General features: G+C 41.7%; 1 long non-coding RNA gene across 1 annotated transcript in view; it reads left to right on the top strand.

Annotated features, from left to right (window-relative positions):
* Window positions 1-23871, top strand: part of LOC105369917 (uncharacterized) — a 67929-nt gene that overhangs the window by 9184 nt on the left and 34874 nt on the right. The window contains exons 3-7 of the long non-coding RNA XR_001749265.1: window positions 3849-3992; window positions 7527-7776; window positions 13743-13863; window positions 15357-15457; window positions 18946-19080. This is a non-coding gene — a long non-coding RNA (uncharacterized LOC105369917). The remainder of the gene's footprint in view (window positions 1-3848; window positions 3993-7526; window positions 7777-13742; window positions 13864-15356; window positions 15458-18945; window positions 19081-23871) is intronic.

The following is a 23871-nucleotide window of genomic DNA, read 5'->3' as shown; positions in this document are numbered from 1 at the left end:
ATTGAGCCGTGTTCATGTAGGTTAGGCTGGGCACTTTAGGTTGCACTTTAGGCTGGGCAACAGAGCAAGACTGTCTCAAACAAACAAACAAAAAGAGCCGTCTGATAGTAACGATAGATAGAAAACTTACTCATGTATCTGGCTATTGGCTAGAGAAACAAGGTAGCTGGGCCATGTGTCTCCAGTGTCTAGCAGGCTAGCTCAGGCTTTTTCACATGGTGCCTGGGTTCCAAAAGCAGCAAGAGAGAAGAAGAAGCCCAATGCATGAGCATTTTTCAAGACTTCTCTAGCATCATGTTTGCTAATGCCCCATCAGTTAAAGCAAGTCACATGGCCAAACCTAGATTCGGGAAGTGGAGAAATAGACTCCTGCTTTTCTTCAGAAAGCACTAAAATATTGCAGTCATTTTTGGCAATCAACCAGAAGGGAAACAATTGAATCTAAATTATTCTCTGTCTACTTCACTGCCTTTTTCCACCTCCAATACTGTTAGAGGTTGGATGATACATGCATAGGGGAATTTGAGAAGTGTAAATACATATAAGATGGATGACCAGGCCAGTATTAGTGTGTTTATCAAGGATGTTGATGAAAACTTGTAAGGATTGGTTATCTTCTCTTTCCTGGATATTCATATATTCTCACTTGGAATTCTGTTTCATCCTCTGATCCCTTTCTACATCCCATGCTGGTGCAACCTGGATTGATCTCCTCCTTTTATCTCAGGTCTCAGATCTGTCACCTACAGCTACTCACAAAGTTCAGATACTATGAAGTCTGTATTTATATTGCTTTATTGATTTCTGTTCCTGTTTGGTGTTCTATAGGACCCAACACATTAACAACCTTCTAGAGATGTGAATTCTTTATGAGCTGGCTACAGAAATTGATCTTTATGACAATGGTGGGAGTAATTTAATGAACTTCCCTGGTTATAGGCTAAGTGTTGTTTTAAATATTTTCCCTTTTAAAATTTGATGATACCTCTTTTCTCCACAGTCAGGTGTTTTGCAGCTGTAGAATTTGGGGTTAACAGCTTTTCACTTGCTGTCCCATCCATGGGTTTTGCTGTTAACATATTTCATGTTGACTTCCATATGAATGATACTGTCTGATTATAGTTTGTGTCTAAATGGAACGTGGTGACCTGGAAAGTTTCAGAAGACGCTGCCTGCTCTGGCCCCTTTCCAACCTTGTCTACGATCTGCCCCTTCTTTATGAGCCTTCTTTCTCTCTCTCTCTTTTTTTTTTTTTGGCACGGAGTCTCACTCTATCACGTATGCTGGAGTGCAGTGGCAAAATCTTGGCTCACTGCAACCTCTTCCTCCCCAGCTCAAGTGATTCTCCTGCCTCAGCCTCCCGAGTAGCTGGGATTATAGGTGCACGCCACCATGCCCGGCTAATTTTTGTATTTTTAGTAGAGACAGGGTTTTGCCATGTTGGCCAGGCTGGTCTTGAACTGCTGATCTCAAGTGATCCTCCCAACTTGGCCTCCCAAAATGCTGGGATTACAGGCATGAGCCAGCACACCTGGCCCTTCTTTCTCTCTTTATGACCATTGCACACATTGTGCCCTGTGCCTGAAAGCTCTTGTCCCCACTCTTTGCATGACTGGTTTCTTCTTATCTTTCAGGTCCCAGTTTAAATATCACCTTCTTGGAGAAAACTTTTCTTTTTTTCTTTGTATTTTAAACAGCTTATTGAAACATAATTTACATTCCATTAAATTCACTCATTTAAAGCATACAACTCAATAGCTTTTAGTATGTTTACAGAGTTTGGCAGCCATCATCATCATCTAATTTGAGAACATTTTCATTATCCTAAAAAGAAAACTTGTACCAATTAGCAGTCACTCATCATTTCCCATCCTATCTCCAACCTTAGGCAGCCACTAACCTACCTTCTGCCTCTAGAGATTTGTTTCTTCTGAACATTTCATACAAATAGAATTATACAACATAGAGTCTTTTGTGACTGGCTTCTTTCACTTAGCATAATGCTTTTGAGGTGCATCCAGGCTGGGCACAGGCATAGGAACTCATGCCTGTAATCCCAGGACTTTTGGGAGGCCAAGTCGGGAGGATCACTTGACCCCAGGAGGTCAAGACCAGCCTGGGCAACATAGGGAGACACTGTCTCTACAAAAAAAAAAGAAAGCCAGGCACGGTGGCATGCGCCTGTCATCCCAGCTACTTGGGAGGCTGAGGCAGAAGGAGAGCTTGAGCCCAGGAGTTCAAGGCTACAGTGAGCCATGATTGTACCACTGTACTCCAGCCTGAGTGATACAGCAAAACCATGTCTCAAAAAAAAGGTATATCCCTGTTGCAGCATGTATCAGTACTTCATTTCTTCTTATGGCTGAATAATATTTCATTGTATGGATATATCGCACATTATTTTTCTGTCCATCAGTTAATGAACATTTGTATTTCTACTTTTTGGCAGCTGTGAATAATGCTACTACATTCTTGTACAAGTTTTTGTGTGGATTTATGTTTCCATTTCCATTTCTAAGACTGGAATTGCTGGGTCACATGATAACTCTATTTTTAACCTTCTGAGCAACTTCCAGATAGTTTCTCAAAAGAGATTTTCCGATCATCTTAAGAAGCCCTGTCCTGCCCTTTCCTTTACTCTTGCCCATCACTTTATTCATTTCCTCTTAGCACTATTCACAATCTGAAATTAAATTTTCATTTATTGAGTTTAGTTTTTGCAACTAGAATGTGAGCTGTGTAGTGCGAGGGAGTCAAAGCCCTGTAACTCAGTCACAAGAAATATAAAAGCACATACAGGAAGCTATATGGATGTAATAACCTTAGTTAAAAACATTTTTTATATGTCGGTTTTTTTCCTAAGCAAACCAAAACTTAATATGACAACCTGATCATTTAAAAGTTTTTGGATTTTTAAAAAATATTAATCCTCTTATTGTGACTTATACCAACCATTCATGACATGCTTGGACTTTCTAGTTTGTCCTGAACATCCCTCCTTCTTAAACAACTAGTTATTTTATTTTAGGACTAAATTTACCATACAAGATTCTTCCACAAATAAAATTATTTCTCTTTAAGCTTTCTTACCAATAAAGAATACCTCTTTATTTTTGTAACTGTCTTTGGCTGAGCACAGTGGCTCATGCCTATAATCCCAGCACTTTGGGAGGCCAAGGCGGGTGGATCACCTGAGGTTAGGCGTTCGAGACCAGCCTGGCCAACATGGTGAAACCCTGTCTCTCCTAAAAATACAAAAATTAGCCAGGTGTGGTGGCACGCGCCTGTAGTCCCAGCTACTCGGGAGGCTGAGGCAGGAGAATGGCGTGAACCCTGGAGGCAGAGCTTGCAGTGAGCCGAGATTGCGCCACTGCACTCCCGCCTGGGCCACAGAGCGAGACTCCGTCTCAAAAAAAAAAAAAAAAAAAAAAAAAAAAAAAAAAAACTGTCTTTATATCTCTTTTATTTCCTGGTTCCTTTTACCTTGTTTTACACATGATCTTTAAATAAGCTTTGAATTAGAAAAAAACTGTTCAACTTTTTTAAGAGGAAACACTTTTTTTTAGAAAGAATGTTTTCCTACAATTATATTTTTATTGGAAAATACCCAAATAATGAAATTTCTATTATTTAATTTAATAAAACTTTATATTCTAAATTATGATGAATTTGTCTGCAAGTATCCTATTACATTTACCTAATTATTTTGTTTTAATATATTGTTTACCTAGATTATTTATGAAAACTGCAATAGTCATTTAAAGTTATGGAACTACTGTTGCAAAACTGTAACCGAGACAGTGAAAAAGATATGACCTAACTAACTCCATTTGCTTCTAACCTCCAAGGTGTCCTTGTTCATTCCTGGACTTTGGGAGAAATTTAATTTATAGTTGAGCTTTGAAACAAAGGCAATAACAATCCTTTCCCAAAACAGACCTCCTTACTCCATGTGGACTAGACTGCCTGAAGCCACAAGATTAGAAGTTACGGTAATTATACTAAATAATTCAAGATGTAGCTATTTTCATTAAACCAATATCAATGTCTTATTTATTAAAGATTACACAAGCAAAGATCATTCTGTCTTGAGATGGGCTTATAGTTTTGTAACCTCTGTGACAAATTTTGACACCTTATAGTATTTGGCCCGGATAAGTATGAAATTGCTTGATTAATAAATGCAAACAAAAATGTATTCTGGTAATTCTTGAGACATTTCAACTATTACTTTACCAATAATTTTAAAGCTAGCTTATTTATTAATTTTACTTGTTACATAACTTGAAAAAGCATTTGACTAGTCTTTTCCTTTTTAGTATCTGGCTTGTGTTTTTATTTTTTAAGCTGATTAATTAGAACTCTTTTATATATTTTTAGGAATGAAACACTGTATATGCAAAACACAAATACATAGACATACTAGGCATGCCAATGGAAATACATCTTATAGAGTCATAAAAACCTTTTATTTTCCTATGTTAGACTTTCAGATTCTTGATGACTTGTTTCACAACCCTCGGTAGTTGTCAGCTAAATAGCCTTACATTTGTATATTAAAGGAAGCAACTCAGGTGAAAGTCAAATAGCAAATTTTACATTATAAGGTGCAGAGAGAAAAAGTTTGGTGTGCTGGCGGGAAATTAAAATGGATTTAATTGCCAATTAAACAAATTATAGGAATTATAAAGGCCTTTGAAATATATATGCACACACATACACACACATACATACACACAAAGATCCTATAGCTTTTACTTCAGAACTTTTAGCCATGAGATAAACACAAATTCACCAACTTGCAAAAAGAACTTGTTGGATCTAAACAGTGGTATTTATCTTAATACAAAAATAACAGCAGATTTAGAGTAGGCAGAAAAGAAAAAATAGAGAAAAAGAGGACTTAGGAACACTGTAGTTTGCAGATTGACCTTAGGGCTCTTTTTCCTTAAGTAAATGTGTATAAAGACCATATTATTTCCATTTTACATAATCTTTGGCAGGTAGATGTGTCGGAAAATCCACAGACTGCTCCAAAGGGGGTCATTCTCCTTGCTTTCTCATCATTCTTAGATTATTTGTTTCCCACTTTCTTTTTTCTTAAAAGGAGGAACTGAGCTGTGGCCTAGGGTTTTGTGTGGTGGATCAATATGTGCCGCTTGTGAACAGGACTCCACAGTGTGTTACCACTGAGTTGTTTCCACCCTCTTATGTGTCTTAGTTTCTCTCTCTAGAGGTCTATGACCTCAGAGAAGGCTCAAAACGTTGGGTGATCAGCCCTTACATGCATTTCTTGGATGAGCCATTTAAAAAAATTGTTTTTGAGTGATTTCCCTGCAGGGCCACTGCACATTGAGGGGGGTCAACCCCCAGACACTCCCACAAGGCCCCTGGTCACCCAGGGGCAACTTTCAACTAGGAGGAGCAAATGCCTTTTCTCTTTGAAGCTGAGAAAACTCAGTCTCTCATTAACGTATGAAAACAACATGCTGGCCAACATGGTGAAACCCCATCTCTACTAAAAAGACAAAAATTAGCTGGGCGTGGTGGCACGCGCCTGTAGTCCCAGTTACTCAGGAGGCTGAGGCAGGAGAATTGAACCCAGGAGGTGGAGGTTGCAGTGAGCCGAGATCACGCCACTGCACTCCAGCCTGGAGACAGAGCGAGACTCCGTCTCAAAAAAAAAAAAAAAAGAAAAAAGAAAAGAAAATAACAGTTCAGTTCCTCATGCAAATGCACACACAAACCGAATTAAGATTAAATTTGCAAGTAAAAGCAATACAGAAGACCCTTTAGAATGCATCTCTGAACTAGAATTAGGATCCTTAAACAACAGCTTCCTAGGAGAGAAAAGAAAAATAAACAGCCAAGACCACTTCCTGTAAACTGTGCTCAACCACCTGTAACTTCACAGCTGTCATTTGCCACTGTACATGTCAAGGGCAAATCATCTCACAGTGCAAAGTCATCTCTGGTACCCCAAAGCCAAAAAAGTCAGGTCATGCAATCCAGGAAAACAGAGCTTTAGACCTAAAAAGAATCTGCCCATGACTCTTGAAACTCCACAAAGAAGACAGAACACCCTAAAAGGGGGTGAGAGCACCTTTGTTCTGAATTCTTTAAAAGGGGTTCAAGGTTCAAGTCATTAGACGCCTTCTCTAGATTTTTTGGTACTGCAAATGGCAAAAGGGGGAAGGAGGTATAGGGTGGAAGAAAAGTAGATGAAAGGACGAGTTTTTTGTTTGTTTGTTTGTTTGTTTGTTTGTTTTAAGACAGGCTGCAAACACAGAAACCAAACACGTTTTTTTCGTTTGTTTGCTTTTTGCAGCTGCAAGGAATTTTAGCCAAATTAGAGAGGCCATGTAACCCATAATTTGGAATTCTCACTCAGATTTGACCAAGTCAGGTAGAGTTGGTCAAATCCATTGGGAGAAAGACTGGAACAAACAACAACAAAAAATCCCAACCTTATCATCACTGAGCGCGCTAATGGTAAGGGGAAATTAAGACCAGCTGTTTGTTAATCTTAACTTTAGCCAAGACAAACACCAATTCAGTTACTTACCTAGGGATGGGTCTCAGGCTGAGGACTGCTCTCTACCAACCTAGAAGCAGGAAAAAGTAAACTGATCTTCCCTGTTGGATGCGCGCTCAAATTCCATAAAGGAGTTATTTGTCTTACATCGTCATGGAGGCAGGAAAAACTTGCCTTCCTTGTGTTGGAAGCAAGTAAAACTCCAAAAAAAAAAAAAAAAAGCAGGAATTGTACAGCAAAATAAACTTTAGATCTCGACCAAATTTTGGGAGATCAGGGACTTTCTGGAGGGCGTGCTCTCAGACCTCAGCAAATTGTCCTATTGGTTTGAGACATAAAGTTAGCTCATGCTGGTACCAGGCACCGATAGGAGATTTGTCAAAGGCAGGGGCATCTCTACTCAGAATCCCTTTGTGGTTACCAAAATGTGAACGCTGAAAATTTGAGACAGGTCTCAGTTAATTTAGACCATTTATTTTGCCAAGGTTAAGGATGCATGCCTGTGACACAGCCTCAGGAAGTCCTGACAACATGTCCCCAAGGTGGTCAGGGCACAGCTTGGTTTTATACATTTTAGGGAGACATGAGACATCAATCAATATATGTAAGATGTACAATGGTTCCATCCAGAAAGGCAGGGACAACTCGAAGCAGGGAGGGGGCTTCCAGGTCACAGGTAGGTGAGAGACAAATGGTTGCATTCTTTGGGGTTTTTGATAAGCCTTTCCAAAGGAGGCAATCAGAATATGCATCTATCTCAGTGAGCAGAGGGATGACTTAATAGAATGGGAGGCAGGTTTTGCCCTGAGAAGTTCCCAGCTTCACTTTATTCTTCAGCTTAGTAATTTGGGGGCCTCAAGATTTTCCTTTCACAGGGTCCATCTAATTGAGATGTCAATATGTAGTGACACTTGGGACAGTGTAGAGATTGTAAAGAATTGGTTGAGAAGATCTAAGCCTATAAACTATAGTGATAAACTCCATATTATAGGTACTGATATGAAGTGAACTGCCAAGGATGTTCAGAAGCATCTGAGATCAGTGTTCAGTTTCATCTGTAGCAGGACGAGCTACAGACAAAACCCCTCAGACACCGAGTTAAAGAAGGAAGGACTTTATTCAGCCGAGAGCTTCGGCAAGACTCACGCCTCCAACAACCGAGCAATTCCTGTCCCTTTTAAGGGCTCACAACTCTAAGGGAGTCTGCGTGAGAGGGTCGTGATCAATGGAGCAAGCAGGGGGTACGTGACTGGGGGCTGCATGCACCGGTAATTAGAATGGAACAGAACAGGACAGGGATTTTCACAGTGCTTTTCCATGCAATGTCTGGAATCTATAGATAACATAACTGATTAGGTCGGGGGTGGATCTTTAACTACCAGGCCCAGGGTGTGGCGCTGGGCTGTCTGCTTGTGGATTTCATTTCTGCCTTTTAGTTTTTACTTCTTCTTTCTTTGGAGGCAGAAATTGGGCATAAGACAATATGAGGGGTGGTCTCCTCCCTTAATCCAGCTAAGAAGGTGAAAACATCTCCCTGGCAGGACTGAAGCCTGAGTTCAGTGCAAACTGTGTCCTACCACACTCAACTCTGGAGAATCAGACTCTGCTGAGATGCCTCTTCTTGTGGCACCATCCTTATAATTGGGTCTAAATCTTCACTTAAGTATCATTTATTAAAGTTGAGTCCTTACGAATTGATTCCTGTGTGATCCTCAACGTTCCTCTGACCTGTTGCAAATGCTGGCTCTGACTAAGGGCTCCTACAGCTTTCTGCTTCTCTAACCAGAGAATTTACTGTTTATAACTTCTCAGTGAGAAAGCCCACTCTGACACAGGGGTGAAGGTATATTGATTTTTGTATACATGTATTTTAATAAAAGTAATTCATGCATGTGGTAAAAAATTAAACTACAGAGTATTACCTGGAAATTAAAATTTTCTCTTCCTCTCAACCTCTTAGCCATTCTGCAAATATATCCATGGCAAAGAGTATTTTGGGCCAGGCACTATGGCTCACGCCTGTAATCCCAGCACTTTGGGAGGCCAAGGTGGGTGGATCACTTGAGGTCAGGAGATCGGGACCAGCCTGGCCAACATGGCGAAACCCCATCTCTACTAAAAATACAAAAATTAGCCAGGCATGGTGGCCTGTGCCTGTAATCCCAGCTACTTGGAAGGCTGAGGCAGGAGAATCACTTGAACCCCGGAGGCAGAGGTTGCAGTGAGCCAAGATCATGCCAGTGTACTCCAGCCTGGGTGACAGAGTGGGACTCTGTCTCAAAAAAAAAAAAGTATTTTATATAGTCTTAAAAATACGGTGAGTTTATATCCACATACCCACATCTATATATGCATATGTTTGCTTACTTTTCTCTCTCTTTTAAATTCCCAATGAAAAAAAGTACTTCTTGTCCTGAAGTCTGAGCTAAAAACAGAGTCACCATTTGTGAGGCCCTATGATAATTTCATTACAGTACCATTAACACATCCTCAAAAGGAGCACTCAACTGACAAATAACTGATAACTAAAATGTGGTATAGCCATACAAGGAAATATTATTTCATTCATAACACAGAATGAAGTATTGATACATGTTACAACGTAGATTAATCTTGAATGCATTGTGCTAAGTAAAAGCATAGTCACAAAAGACCACATATTGTATGATTCCATTTGCACGAAATATCTAGATTAAGCAAATCTGTACAGAAAGCAAATAGATCAGTGGCTGCCCAGAGGCCAAGGAGAGGGAGCGATGCGGGTCACTGCTAGTGGACACATGGTTTCTTTTTGGGGTGATAAAAAATGTTCTAAAATTGATTATCATGATTGTTGCACAACTCTGTAAATATTCTAGAAACCATTGAACTCTATACTTTAAATGGTGACTAGTATGATGTGAGAACTATATTTCAGTAAAGCTATTATATAAAAAAGGGAGGTATTTTTAAAAACTACTGTTGTTCACACGTGTAATCCCAGAACTTTGGGAGGCCGAAGTGGGCGGATCACCTGAGGTCAGGAGTTAGAGACCACCCTGGCCGACATGGTGAAACCCCATCTCTACTAAAAACACAAAATTAGCTGGCCATGGTGGTGCATGCCTGTAATCCCAGCTATATGGGAGGCTGAGGCAAGAGAGTCACTTGAACCTGGGAAGTGGAGGTTGCAGTGAACCGAGATCACACCATTGCACTCCAGCCTGGGCAACAAGAGCAAAACTCCGTCTCAAAAAATAAATAAATAAATAAATATAAATAAATGTATTTAAAAAATAAAGAGAGACACAGCTCAATAAATTAATATATAATTTGCTGTCTTGTATTGCATGATTAAAGTAGGTGTCATTATTTCCCTTTCACCTAATAAGAAAATTGGACCTGCACTTGGTATTTCTTGTTCACTCCAATTTTATGAAATTTAAAAGAATTATCATTCCAGGAATACTAAATTAAAAATAAAAGCTATACATGAAAAAATTAATAGGTAGTGGTTGATGCAAGAGTTGAGCAACATGATTCCTGAGATGTCCTTTATGACTAATTGACAGTCTTAGAGAATTAGAAGTCAACAACGTTAAAATGGAAATAAAAATACATCACAAATCTTCACTTTCTAGGCAGAAGCTAGAATGTTCAGTGCCCTGATCAGACTTTTCCCAACAGTTAAATTTGCACTGGGAAATTGTTCCCTTTATTTGACACATAAAATTAAATGCCCAAGATGAGAATTATATCTGTGAAATAAACAGGAGATGAAAAAATTTTCTCCACTCGCCCCTCCGGGGTGGTTGCCTTCCTCATCCTCCCCCTGTCTTCTTTGATAATAGCATCTAAGCAGATAAATGCAACACCATCTGCTGATGGTATTTTGGGAACTTCACACAAGTCCAAAACACTAAGCCAAAACGCTAAGTCCTGCCCCTGTGTAATGTTATCCGAGCCTCATAGCCCATTTCTTGGCAGAGAGTAATGTCTACTTTCAGCAGAACTGAAGACTCTGAAAGAGACAAGGCAAAACAAAAAGAAAGCTGCCTTTAAAGGGATTTCAGTATTTCACTATTAACGATCTTTTAAAAGAATCCTCCTTTTGGGCATCTGCCCTCCCACCAAAGGGGGTCTTGGTGAGAAGGCTCAGCAGCCCATGCAGTTAGGAAGAGGAATAAAAGAGGGGTGTGGAGTGAGACCCCTGTTACTGGGATTCAGCGGATAGGGAAACACCGTGTGGACAGGAAGACAGCTGCTTTAGCCAAAGCTCCTACCGAAATGCACGGTGGATGGGTAAGGTCTTTCCTGAGGCTTCTGGCAGGAACGAGAACAGCTGAAGGCTAGACCGCTCAGGGTGAGTGAAAGGGTAGGCTGTTCAAGAAAGGAATGTACTCTAGGTGGCCAAGACTTGGCACTGCTGTTTCTGCTCTTTTTTTTTTTCCACTGGCTAGGTCGCTTTGCTCCTCCAGCCCAGCTTGCAGGCTCCTTGGTTAAGCCCAAAGTGCTCCTTTTATACTATGAACTATTCTCATCCTTCTGGTAGAGGGTGAGCCTATCAAACTTTATATTAGGCTGCAGGTAGTTTATTAACTAACCTCTCTCAGCCTCTGTTTTCTCGTCTATGAAATGGGACTCATAATACCTATAGATGGGATTGTGAGGACTTAATCATGAAAGCCAACATTTTTATAGAACTTACAAGGTGCCTGGCTCTGAAGTGTTTTACACGTATTAACTCATTTAGCTCTCACAACAGCCCTATGAGGTAGGTGCTATTGTTATCATCACTTTTAAGGCAAGGAAACTGAGCCACAGAAAGGTTGAGAAATATGTCCAAGTCAGGCCGAGCATAGTGGTTCATGCCTCTAATCCTAGCACTTCGGGAGGGTGAGGCAGGAGGATCACTTGACCCCAGGAGTTCAAGACCAGCCTGGGAAACATAGTGAGAGCGTCTCTGTAAAAAATAAACAAAATTAGCCAAGCATGGTGGCATGCCCCTGTAGTCCCAAATACTCAGGAGGCTGAGGCAGGAGGGTCACCTTAGCTTGATCATGCCACTGCACTCCAGCTTGGGCAACAGATCAAGAAAAAAAAAAAAAAGGAAGGAAGGAAAGGAGGGAGGAAGGAAGGAGGGAAAGAAAGAGAAAGAAAGAAAAAGAAAGAGAGAGAGAGAGAAAGAAAGAAAGAAAGAAAGAAAGAAAGAAAGAAAGAAAGAAAGAAAGAAAGAAAGAAAAAGAAAAAAAGAGAAAGAAAGAAAGAGAAAGAAAGAAGAGAAGAGAATGGAGGGAAATCCAAATCTACAAAAATAGGATGTGGCAGACTGCCATGGTTACTACTTGAGACCATCACTACGACAGTTACTACTGTTACTACTTGAGACCATCATTACGAGACCGAACGAAGGGGGACGAACGTAGAAATGAAAACTTAAGACAAAAGAAACTGTTTTAAAGGAAGGGGCCAGGGGAAGAAGAAAAGGGCTCCCTGCTTCTAGTGAGCAAAGGCAGCAGCCACCCTGAGTTTCTACAGCCCTTCGTATTTATTGGGTAGCAAGAGCAGGGAGGAGCGGGTAACGACTGGTCAGCTGCTTAATTGATCACAGGTTCACATTATTGGTAACAGGCTTCAGATGCGCCTAATCACAAGAAACACTGTGCTTGGGGCTTGACTGCCCTCAGCGTTCCTTCTGGGCAGCAGACGCAGTTTGTCAGTTTGCCAACATCCTGCTTTCATGAGAACAGTTTGCTGTTTACTCATACAGCCTCCAGTGGTATACTGAGTTGATCACAACCCTCACTCAGCCTTCAACAATAGCACACAGACGAACCAGATTCAATATCATACCAGTCTGGCCGTATAGGGTTTGGAACCATTAAGCAACACTACCTACTAAAAGCCTGTAGTTAAGGCTCTCATACAACACTCAGAGCTTAGTAGGCGCTATAATAAATGTTGTCTATCAAAATAATTATTACCTCAAGACAGAAAATGTCCTAAGTGTAGAGAGAGAACTGCAATCAGGGCATCCCTGGAATGCCTAAACAGTGTCCTGCGTCTAATAATTATTCAAAATATATTGGCTTAACAATCCATTTTGTCAACATGATTCAACAGACTTTCTTTAAGCTTCTTCTCTGTGCCAGGGGCTCTGCCCAAAAGACAGAAGGCCCAAAGATGATTTGGACAAGGACTCATAGTGTGATGCTACTGATCTGAAACTAATAAAATGCTTGGCTGCATTCACAGACCAAGAGAGTATAGTGGAGATAACATCAACACATTCCTCTCATTCACCACCCAAATCCCATCCATCCAAACCCTAGATGGTTCTTGAATCCATACCTGGGTCTCCGTCTTTCTCACCTGTACTCGCATCCAAGCTGCCATCTTCCCTGGACCACTCAGCTAGTCATGACCTCTTAACTGGTCTCCCAGCATGTACTGTGGTCCCTCCCTAATCCACTTGATCATGTAGCCTCCTTGCTTAGTTGTTAAAACCCTTCTATTATTTTTTGCTCTTTTTTCTTTTTATCATTATTATTATTATTGAAATAGAGACGAGGTCTTGCTTTGTTGCCCAGGCTGGTCCTGAACTCCTGGCTTCACGCAGTCTTCCCACCTAGGCCTCCTGAAGTGTTGGGATTACAGGCATGAGCCATTGCACCCAGCCTGGTTTTTTGCCCTTAAGATAAAACTCATGCTATGGCCAAGGATTCCTGCATATCTGACCACTGCCTGCCAATCACTCCCATCTAATTTACGCCACTCTTGACCCTAGTCATGCTGTCTTCCTTTCAGTCCTTTGAATGCACTATGCCCACCTCCTCTCCTAAGTCCTTTGACACATCTGGGTGTATCCATTTGGAACACAGCTGTGGTTAAATGTCCACCCCTGATTCAATCAGCCATAGCCAAGGTAGCAGGCCCACATGGTATGATAATTGTGGCTGGCAGGATCCATTCCTATGACCCTATAGATGCAAGGGGAGGGAGAAGGCATGTCTCAGAGAAGGGACACTAATCAGCTGAGCAGGTATGTATCAAGCTTCCTTCCAGAAAGATATTCAGGCAGAGAGAGTGACTATCCTCCAGGAATGTGACAGGAGAGATTCCCATGCTCTTAAAAGCTGTATCTTGGTGACTTCCATCACCTCAGCCAAATCAATGAGTGCATGAATTTTTCTTGTTCTAAATGGGTCAATTTCTGTCTTTTTTGTAGACAAACAGTAGCAGTGATGTTTAATTAGGAAGGAGGCCTGGTGATCAGCAGAAAAGGAAACATCATAAGGGAATGGACCTGGCCTTCAAAAGGAAAACTTGATAATCCAGTGGAAATTTGGGTATTATTTTACAATTAGCATTCTTATGGTTATTTTTATGTTGCAACAGTAATTTACTTTGGGTATCTAAAATATACTATTATGGGACTAGACACAGTGGCTCACACCTGTAATCCCAGCACTTTGGGAGGCTGAGGCAGGTGGATCACCTGAGGTCAGGAGTTCAAGACCAGCCTGGCCAACATGGTGAAACTCCATCTCTACTAAAAGTACAAAAATTAGCTGGGCATGGTGGCACATGCCTGTAATCTCAGCTACTTGGGAGGCTGGGGCAGAAGAATCACTTGAACCTAGGAGGCAGAGGTGGCAGTGAGCCAAGATTGCACCACTGCACTCCAGTCTGGACAACAGAGTAAGACTCCATCTCAAAAAAACAACAAAATAAAAAATAAAAAAATATATATGCTATTAAAGGAAACAAGGTTGAGAAGACTGAATTAATTTGCTGGCTATAAATTTTTTTATTTGTACAAATTTATTACATGTATATTTATTACATGTACAACTTTGTTACATGTATATAATATGTAGTGGTCAAGTCAGGGTATTTGGGGTGTCTGTCACCCGAGTAAAAAACAGTTTTGGGGTTTTCTGTTTCTTTGTTTTTTTATAGAGTCAAGATTTCAGTATGTTGCCCAGGCTGGTCTCAAACTCCTGGGCTCAAGCAGTCCTCCAGACTTAGTCTCCCAAAGTGCTGTGATTACAGGCATAAACCACCATGCCCAGCCCAAGTACAAAACATTTTTGTTAAGTATAGTCACCCTACTGTGCTGTCAAACATTTTATGTATTCCTTCTTACTGTGTGTTTTTACCCTTTAACCCGCTTCTCTTCATCCTCCCTTTACCCCTGCCCCACCCCTCCCAGTCTCTGTTCTCTATTTTCCACTCTTTACCTCCATGTGATCCCATTTTTTAGCTCCCACATATAAGTGAGGACATGCGATATTTGTCTTTTTGTGCCTGGCTTATTTCATTTCAGATAATAACCAGTTCCTGGATGTGATACATTTTTACTTCAGTTCTTCATTTCACTTGGCAAACTATACTTGGCCCTTTCTTAATGGATTTATCTTTGCTAAACAGCAGTTGCTTTAAACAGCAATTTTTTAAAATTGTTATTAGAAAAGCAGTTCATGCCTACTGTAAAAACATTTCTAAAATAGGAAAGTATGGTGTTCAAAGTGAAAGTCTCCTCCTCCTCAATTTCACTCTGCAGAAATCAACCATATTCATAGCTTGGTATGTATCTCTGTAGGATCAAAGATTCCAAACTGAGATAATATAAGAGTGAGTCTACCAAGTAGGAACGGCAGTGAACTGGAAGTGTCCCACCTGAGGGGGACAGCCTCTACTCAGGGCCAGAAGGTTGTTGCCACATGGGAATACGGGCCTGGGGTTACTACATTTTACGGTTTTTTCCAGCTAGAAATTCAGACTTTTATGTGAAATATCCTGAAATTTAACTGCTGACAATTAATTCAAACTTTGACAGGATTAATTCAAACACTTCTGAGCTGCCAGTCTGAAACTGTGTCCGGAATTGGTGGATTCTTGGTCTCACTGACTTCAAGAATGAAGCCGCGGACCCTCGCAGTGAGTGTTACAGCTCTTAAGGTGGTGCGTCTGGAGTCTGTCCCTTCTGATGTTCAGATGTGTTCGGAGTTTTTTCCTTCTGGTGGGTTCGTGGTCTCGCTGGCTCAGGAGTGAAGCTGTAGACCTTCGCGGTGAGTGTTACAGCTCTTAAGGCAGCGCGTCTGGATTTGTTTGTTCCTCCGGGTGGGCTCGTGGTCTCGCTGGGCTCAAGAGTGAAGCTGCAGATCTTCGCGGTGAGTGTTACAGCTCATAAAAGCATCGTGGACCCAAAGAGTGAGCAGTAGCAACATTTATTGCAAAGAGCGAAAGAACAAAGCTTCCACACTGTGGAAGGGGACCCGAGCAGGTTGCCAGTGCTGGCTAGGGCAGCCTGCTTTTATTCTCTTATCTGGCCCCAGCCACATCCTGCTGATTGGTAGAGCCGAGTGGCCTGTTTTGTCAGGGCGCTGATTGGTGCATTTACAATCCCTGAGCTAGATACAAAGTTTCTCCAGGTCCCCATCAGATTAGTTAGATACAGAGTTTGGACACACAGGTTCTCCAAGGCCCCACCAGAGCAGCTAGATACAGAGTGTTGATTGGTGCATTCACAAACCTTGAGCTAAACACAGAGTGCTGATTGGTGTGTTTACAAACCTTGAGCTAGATACAGAGTGCCGATTGGTGTATTTACAATCCCTGAGCTAGACATAAAGGTTCTCCACAGCCCCAGCAGAGCAGCTAGATACAGAGCTAAACACAGGGTGCTGATTGGTGTATTTACAATCCCTGAGCTAGATATAAAGACTCTCCACGTCCCCACCAGACTCAGGAGCCCAGCTGGCTTCACCTAGTGGATCCCGCACCGGGGCTGCAGGTGAAGCTGCCTGCCAGTCCCGCACCTTGCGCTCGCATTCCTCAGCCCTTGGGTGGTCGATGGGACTGGGCACCGTGGAGCAGGGGGTGGTGCTTGTTGGGGAGGCTCGGGCCGCACAGGAGCCCATGGAGTGGGTGGGAGGCTCAGGCATGGCGGGCTGCAGGTCCCGAGCCCTGCCCCGCGGGAAGGCAGCTAAGGCCCGGTGAGAAATCGAGCGCAGCGCCGGTGGGCTGGCACTGCTGGGGGACCCAGTACACACTCCGCAGCCACTGGCCCGGGGCCAGCAGGGCTGGCCGGCTGCTCGAAGTGCGGGCCCGCCAAGACCACGCCCACCTGGAACTCCAGCTGGCTCGCAAGCGCCGCACGCAGCCCCGGTTCCCGCTCACGCCTCTCCCTGCACACCTCCCTGCAAGCTGAGGGAGTGGGCTCCAGCCTTGGCCAGCCCAGAAAGGGGCTCCCACAGTGCAGTGGGGGGCTGAAGGGCTCCTCAAATGCCACCAAAGTGGGAGCCCAGGCAGGGGAGGTGCCGAGAGCCAGCGAGGGCTCTGAGGACTGCCAGCACACTGTCACCTCTCAAAACCTCTGCGCTAGATTTTCTCCTTTGTATATAGTTACCTCAAGTGTGTGTTTGTGTGTGTGTGCGCACGTGCGCACACACACATGCATGTTTATATGTACAAAATGGGATGCATTAGTCCAGGCTCACTGTATACAGATGTGCAGGTGCCTCACTGCACAACCAACCTTCACGGCACCATTTATAGAGAGCTATGCTATCCAATATGGCAGCCACTAGGCATCCATGGTTATTGAAGCATTGAAATGTGCTGTAAGGATAAAATACACACCAGATGTCGAAGACTTAGTACAAAGAGAATAGAAACTATCATATTAATAATTTTTATATGTAGTACATGTCAAAATGCTAATACTTGGAGATATTTGGTTATAAAACAAAGTTATTCATTTCACCTGCTTTTTATTCTAACCTGTCTACTAGAAAATTTAAAATTAGGCCAGACATGGTGGCTCACACCTGTAATCTCAGCACTTTGGAAAGCCAGGGTGGGAGAAGCATTTAAGCCCAGTAGTTTGAGATCAGCCTGGGAAACATAGCAAGACCCCATCTCTACAAAAAACTTTAAAATGAGCTTGGTGGTGTGCATCTGTAGTCCCAGCTACTTGGGAGGCTGAAGTGGGAGGATCACTTAGGCCAGGAGTTCAAGGCTGTGGTGAGCTATGATTGTGCCACTGCACTCCAGGCTGGGCGACAGAGTGAGACATTGTCTCTTAAAAAAAATAAAGGGCCGGGCGCGGTGGTTCACAGTTGTAATCCCAGCGCTTTGGGAGGCCGAGGCGGGCGGATCACGAGGTCAGGAGATCAAGACCATCCTGGCTAACATGGTGAAACCCCGTCTCTACTAAAAATACAAAAAGAAATTAGCCGGGCGTGGTGGCGGGCGCCTGTAGTCCCAGCTACTGAGGCAGGAGAATGGCGTGAACCCGGGAGGCAGAGCTTGCACTCCAGCCTGGGCGACAGAGCAAGACTCCATCTCAAAAAGAAAAAGAAAGAAAGAAAGAGAGAGAGAGGGAGGGAGGGAGGAAAGAAGTAAATAAGGAAGGTTGGTTAAAAATTACTCACTTGCCTTACCTTTGTGGCTTGCATTCTATTTTGACTGGACTGCACCATTATAGGCTACTGGATAGGGAATAACCTCTAGGTCTCTGTTCTAAGCGACTTACAAAATCATCTGTGGTAGCCACATGCTCTGCATGGACTATTTAGATGGTAACTTTTAAAGAAGTACTGTTTAACTCTGGAGGCTTAGGAAAGTAGAGTAGATAAAAAGGCTGTACCAGGATTCTATATGCAAATTTCCTGACACTTTAAAGTCAGAATTTCCTCACCTATCATCTAAAAAACAATCAGGATCACCAATGAAGTAGGTTATTTAGCTTAGATTACTTCAGCTAGTAGCCTTCAGGAAGCAAGGGAATGTAAACTATAACCAAACCAAGAGTCTTTGCCTGCTTAGAGCAGCTGACTTAATTAAGATGCTTTATTTACTGAAAGCCTTTTAAATATGCTCTACAAATCTGCCGATGTTCAAAGTTGTTCGTTTATTGTTACTTTCCCATTCTTGTCCTTTGTAAAATCTCTCCAACTTTAATGGGTTTCACAGGAAGATTAAGGCTTGTAAAACATCTAAGCACTTGGCAGCCATTGACTTTTCTCAACACCAAGGGAGTCAGATGTTGTTAATCGGATTTTACAGGTGAGACTGACTATGTCTCAGGGGCTAGAATTAGGGCTCAGAAGTGCCTGTAGGTTGACCTAGCATTTTTTCAATCTAAAATGGACCTGATGTTCTTTACCAGACATGACTACATTACTTGCAAAATAGTTTCTCCTCCCTTGTCTTTTTCCCTCCCTAAGTCATAACAACACACGAAATTGCAGCACAAAGCCCAAAACTCAAAAATGTAATAGTATTAAATCAAGAGACTGCAGCTGTCTGTGAATGTCAGTCCCAAATTTCCATCCACATGTCATGCAAATACATGATTTCCATCTGAATTATGAGAATGAGGATTCCACGCAGGAAATGACCCTCCTTTCTGTTACCCCCAGGTAAATAGGTTCATCACTGTGAAGATTTCTGGACATTCTGCCACCACCTTGGTCTACAAGTGGCATTCCCAAAGCCTGAAGCTATCTTTGGCACCTGTAAAACGCCAGCCTTTCCCTCCATGCCTACCCAAAGTGGTAGGTCCAGAGATGTCTTGATCATCTTCATGCCACCACTTTGGCCGGACAGAGCGGGAGCAATGTTGACTGATGTCATATTCTTAACTTTTAGTATCACCTGGTAATTTCTACAATAAGGATGCTGGAGTCTTGCCTAGTTAGAAATCCTACCAGGGCTGTTTATGAACCTTACTCGTGAAACAACTAAAAGTTTAGAAAGAGGAGAGGTTAGAAGGTAAAGGTAGAATTGGGAAAAAAAATGAATACCTAGTTTATTCTAAGGCTGTGATTCCTAAGCTTTTAGAGAAAGGTTAGGAATCTTCTGGCCGGGCTTGGTGGCTCATGCCTGTAATCCCAGCACTTTCAAAGGCTGAGGCGGGTGGATTGCTTGAGTTCAGGAGTTTTGGATCCGACTGGGCAACATGGCGAAATCCCATCGCTACAAAAAATACAAAAATTGGCCGGGTGCGGTGGCTCACGCCTGTAATCCCAGAATTTTGGGAGGCCGAGGCGGGTGGATCACCTGCAGTCAGGAGTTGGAGACCAGCCTAGCCAACATGGTGAAACCCTGTCTCTACTAAAAATACAAAAAAAAAAAAAAAAAAAATGAGCCGGGCGTGGTGGTGCATGCCTGTAGTCCCAGCTACTCAGGAGTCTGAGACAGGAGAATCTCTTGAATCTAGGAGGTGGAGGTTGCAGTGAGCTGAGATCGCGCCACTGCACTCTAGCCTGGGCAACAGAGCAATACTCTGTCTCAAAAAAAAAAAAATTACAAAAATACAAAAATTAGCCAGGCATGGTGGTGCGCCTATAGTCCCAGCTATTCGGGAGGCTGAGGTGGGAGGATCACCTGAGCCTGGGGAGGTCAAGGCTGCAGTGAGTTGTGATAGGACCACTGCATTCCAGCCTGGGTGACAGAGTGAGGCCTTGTCTCAAAAACAAAACAAAATAAAAAAACCCAAGAACTTAGTAAACATTAGCTAGTAATAATTTTTTAAAAGAGAGAATTAATTTCTTCTGTGCTACTTGGTTGAATTGTTTGCATTATATAATCTATTATCTCTTAAAAATAGAAACAGCATAGGGCTTACATATTGTTTTATAAGTCAGATGAAATTAAATCAATTTAAAGTTACTCTTTTAAGACATTAGTAACATTCCAAAAAACATGGAGATGTTAGAGCATTGTTAAAATTGTGGCCCAGAATAACTTCTCTAAATAATCATTTCACACTCACTAAACCTCTGTTGAGGAAGTCTAGGCTAAAACCTTTGTTTGTCAAGAGGTGAAACACTTAACATGAATATCTCTACTTTCATGTAGATAAGTAGTGAGCTAGCTTGATTGATTTTGATCAAACTTTTGAAACTTTTTTTTGTTTTGAGACAGAGTCTCGGTCTGTCACCCAGGCTGGAGTGCACTGGAGTGATCTTGCCTCACTGCAACCTTCGCCTCCTGGGTTCAGGTGATTCTCCTGTCTCAGCCTTCTGAGTAGCTGGGATTAGAAGAGTGAGCCACCATGCCCAGCTAATTTCTTTTTTTTTGTATTTTTAGTAGAGACGGAGTGTCACCCTGTTAGCCAGGCTGGTCTTGAACTCCTGACCTTGGGTGATCCGCTGGCCTCGGCCTCCTGAAGTCCTGGGATTACAGGCATGAGCGACCACACCTGGCCAAACTTTTGAAACTTTTACAAATGTTGAGTGCATTTATGTGAATGTGACACAAAATACAGAAAGAATATGAGCACATATGAGATTTGTATTTTTAGGGACTGACATCAAAACTGTGTTACTCTTTAGAATTACTATGGTGATTTTGAATATGCTGAAGTTATATACTTTTTGCCGTGATTAGCGTCTTTATGTCAAGCTGTCTTGCCTCTGGGTTTTTATGAACGATGTCATCTGAAAAGACCTTATACTCTCTCTCATTCATTCCCTGATATCAATTCCATCTCCGGAGAAGCCAGGGAGTTGTTCAAGGCCTATAAAATGAAGTACAAGTGACTGAGATTCACAACACAGAACTAAAACATGTGAAATATTTTGATACTGTAGGCAAAGGAGGGTTGTAGTTTTCATGTTACTCTAGAAATGGTTTTCTCTTCCAATGTAAGCTGGATTTGTTTTCGAGAGCCAAAGAGCCAAGCTATTGAACACAGGTAGGCCCATGTATATACTCACAGAAAGGAGCATTGGCTGACTTCTGTTTGTTTGGTTTTTGTTTGTTTGTTTGTTTGTTTTTGATATTTCACTTTTCCCCACTAACCATTGTAACAATTTTTAAGTGTATAATTCAATAGTATTACATACATTCACATTGTCATGCAACATCACTATCAATCTCTAGAACTTTTTCCTCTTGTAAAACTGAAACTCTGTGCCCATTCATTAAACACTAACTCTCCATTTTCCCCTTCCTCCAGCCTCTAGTCATCATGATTCTTCATTTATTTATTTATTTATTTGAAACGGAGTCTCACTCACTCTGTTGCCCAGGCTAGAGTACAGTAGCATGATCTCGGCTCACTGCAGCCTCCACTTCCTGGGCTCAAGCGAGCCTCCCACCCACCTCAGCCTCCCAAGTAGCTGGGACTACAGGTGCACACCAACACACCCGACTATTTTTTTTTTTTTTTAATTTTTTTTAGTGACGGGATCTAACTATGTTGCCTAGGCTGGTCTCGAGCTTCTGGACTCGAGCAGTGCACTCACCTTGGCCTCCCAAAATGTTGGGATTACAGGCATGAGGCACCATGCCTGGCCTTCATTTCATTTTTCACTGGGCTTTTTTGAGTTGTATTCCTATCACTTACTTGATCTGTACTATACTTTCCCAACCCCCTTCTTTTTTTATTATTATTATTATTATACTTTAAGTTTTAGGGTACATGTGCACAATGTGCAGGTTAGTTACATATGTATACATGTGCCATGCTGGTGTGCTGCACCCATTAACTCGTCATTTAGCATTAGGTATATCTCCTAATGCTATCCCTCCCCCTTCCCCCCACCCCACAACAGTCCCCAGAGTGTGATGTTCCCCTTCCTGTATCCATGTGTTCTCATTGTTCAATTCCCATCTATGAGTGAGAATATGCGGTGTTTGGTTTTTTTGTCCTTGCGATAGTTTACTGAGAATGATGATTTCCAATTTCATCCATGTCCCTACAAAGGACATGAACTCATCATTTTTTATGGCTGCATAGTATTCCATGGTGTATATGTGCCACATTTTCTTAATCCAGTCTATCATTGTTGGACATTTTTCCCAACCCCCTTCTGGACTTCATGATTGGCTTAATTTACAAACATATTGGGTAGAATGAGGGGTCTGTGAAAGGTAATGAATTTGGAAAGTAGCTTGCCTTTCACATTGGGCTGCAAAGAAAGTAGGTTGAAAGAAATGTTTGGGCCAGACGCAATGGCTCATGCCTATAATCTCAGCACTTTGGGGGGCCGAGGCAGGAGGATCACTTGAGGTCAGGAGTTCGAGACCAGCCTGGCCAACATGGTGAAACCCCATCTATAATAAAAATACAAAAATTCGCTGGGCATGGTGGCACATGCCTGTAATCCTAGCCACTCAGGAGGCTGAGGCAAGAGAATCACTTGAACCTGGCAGGCAGAGGTTGCAGTGAACCAAGATCACGCTGTTGCACTGCAGCCTGGACGACAAAGCAAGACTCCGTCTCAAAAAAAAAAAAAGAAAGAAATGTTTGGCATGAAAAACCATTTCCTAAGTGTCAGACATCTATCTGTGAATTATGTGTATGGCTCCAAAAGTAGAAGACTCAGTGGTATGCTTGTTACAATTGTTAGTGTTTTGGTATGCTGGAGTTAGCCCATCAGATATTCATGTGAAAGCTCACACTACTGGGAGAAAATTAAACAAACAAAAATCTACCTTGAAAATGTCATGCCTTAACATTCTCCTTTGGAAATACTGTACAAAGATAATATAAAACATCTAAAAATAACGCATATTTTAAAAAGATTTGAAAAAAGAATACATTTTCACAGTTTGAGAAGTTGATTCTTGTTATGCAAACTTGAACATTTATTTTTGAGGGGTGGGATGCCTGGGAAAATTACAGATTGTAGGAGTTGTTTATGGAAGTTACAAAAAGGGACTCTGATGATTATTTCATGCCATTTTTGAATGTGAGAAATAAATATGTCAATATTTATTATGAAAATAGCATAAGGAAGATTTCCATGCATATAGAGAGGGTGTCTGCATTCACAGCCTTTGGAAAATGGTCAATTTCATGGCAGAAATGAATATAAATTGTTCCACTCAAACCTTCAGAACTGCAGTCCTTTGATAATTACAATGTTGTTTTCTGATTTGGTTTCTCTGCTAATATTACCCATAACGTTTTCACGTTTGTGAGTTTCCTTACACATTTCACAAGTATCTTCTTTTCTCATTTCAAAAGTAATGTATTCAACACAAAAAATTAATGATGCATTTTCCCAGTCTATATAAATGCATATAAGAATATTTTTTCTTTGACTCAGTACGGAATCATATAGTACATGCTACCTTGACATCTACTTTTTTCTCCACACTTAACAACGTTCTATGAACATCAAAGGGCCTTTGTGATACTACTTTCCTTAGAAGCTAAAGTCCATACATATGAAAAGGAAGCAAATTCCTCACACTGAGAAACCGTGACTATAAGCATATTTCATCAATTTATAAACATTAAAAAGTATAATTTCTAAACATTGGTTTATATTAAATATCTTTTAAAAAATGATCACCAGTTTAACAGTGCCAAGTTCTTTTGACAACTTAAG

This window comes from Homo sapiens, chromosome 12, assembly GCF_000001405.40.
Source record: "Homo sapiens chromosome 12, GRCh38.p14 Primary Assembly".
NCBI classification, from domain to species: domain Eukaryota; kingdom Metazoa; phylum Chordata; class Mammalia; order Primates; family Hominidae; genus Homo; species Homo sapiens.
This window is presented reverse-complemented; position numbering and strand designations above follow the sequence as displayed.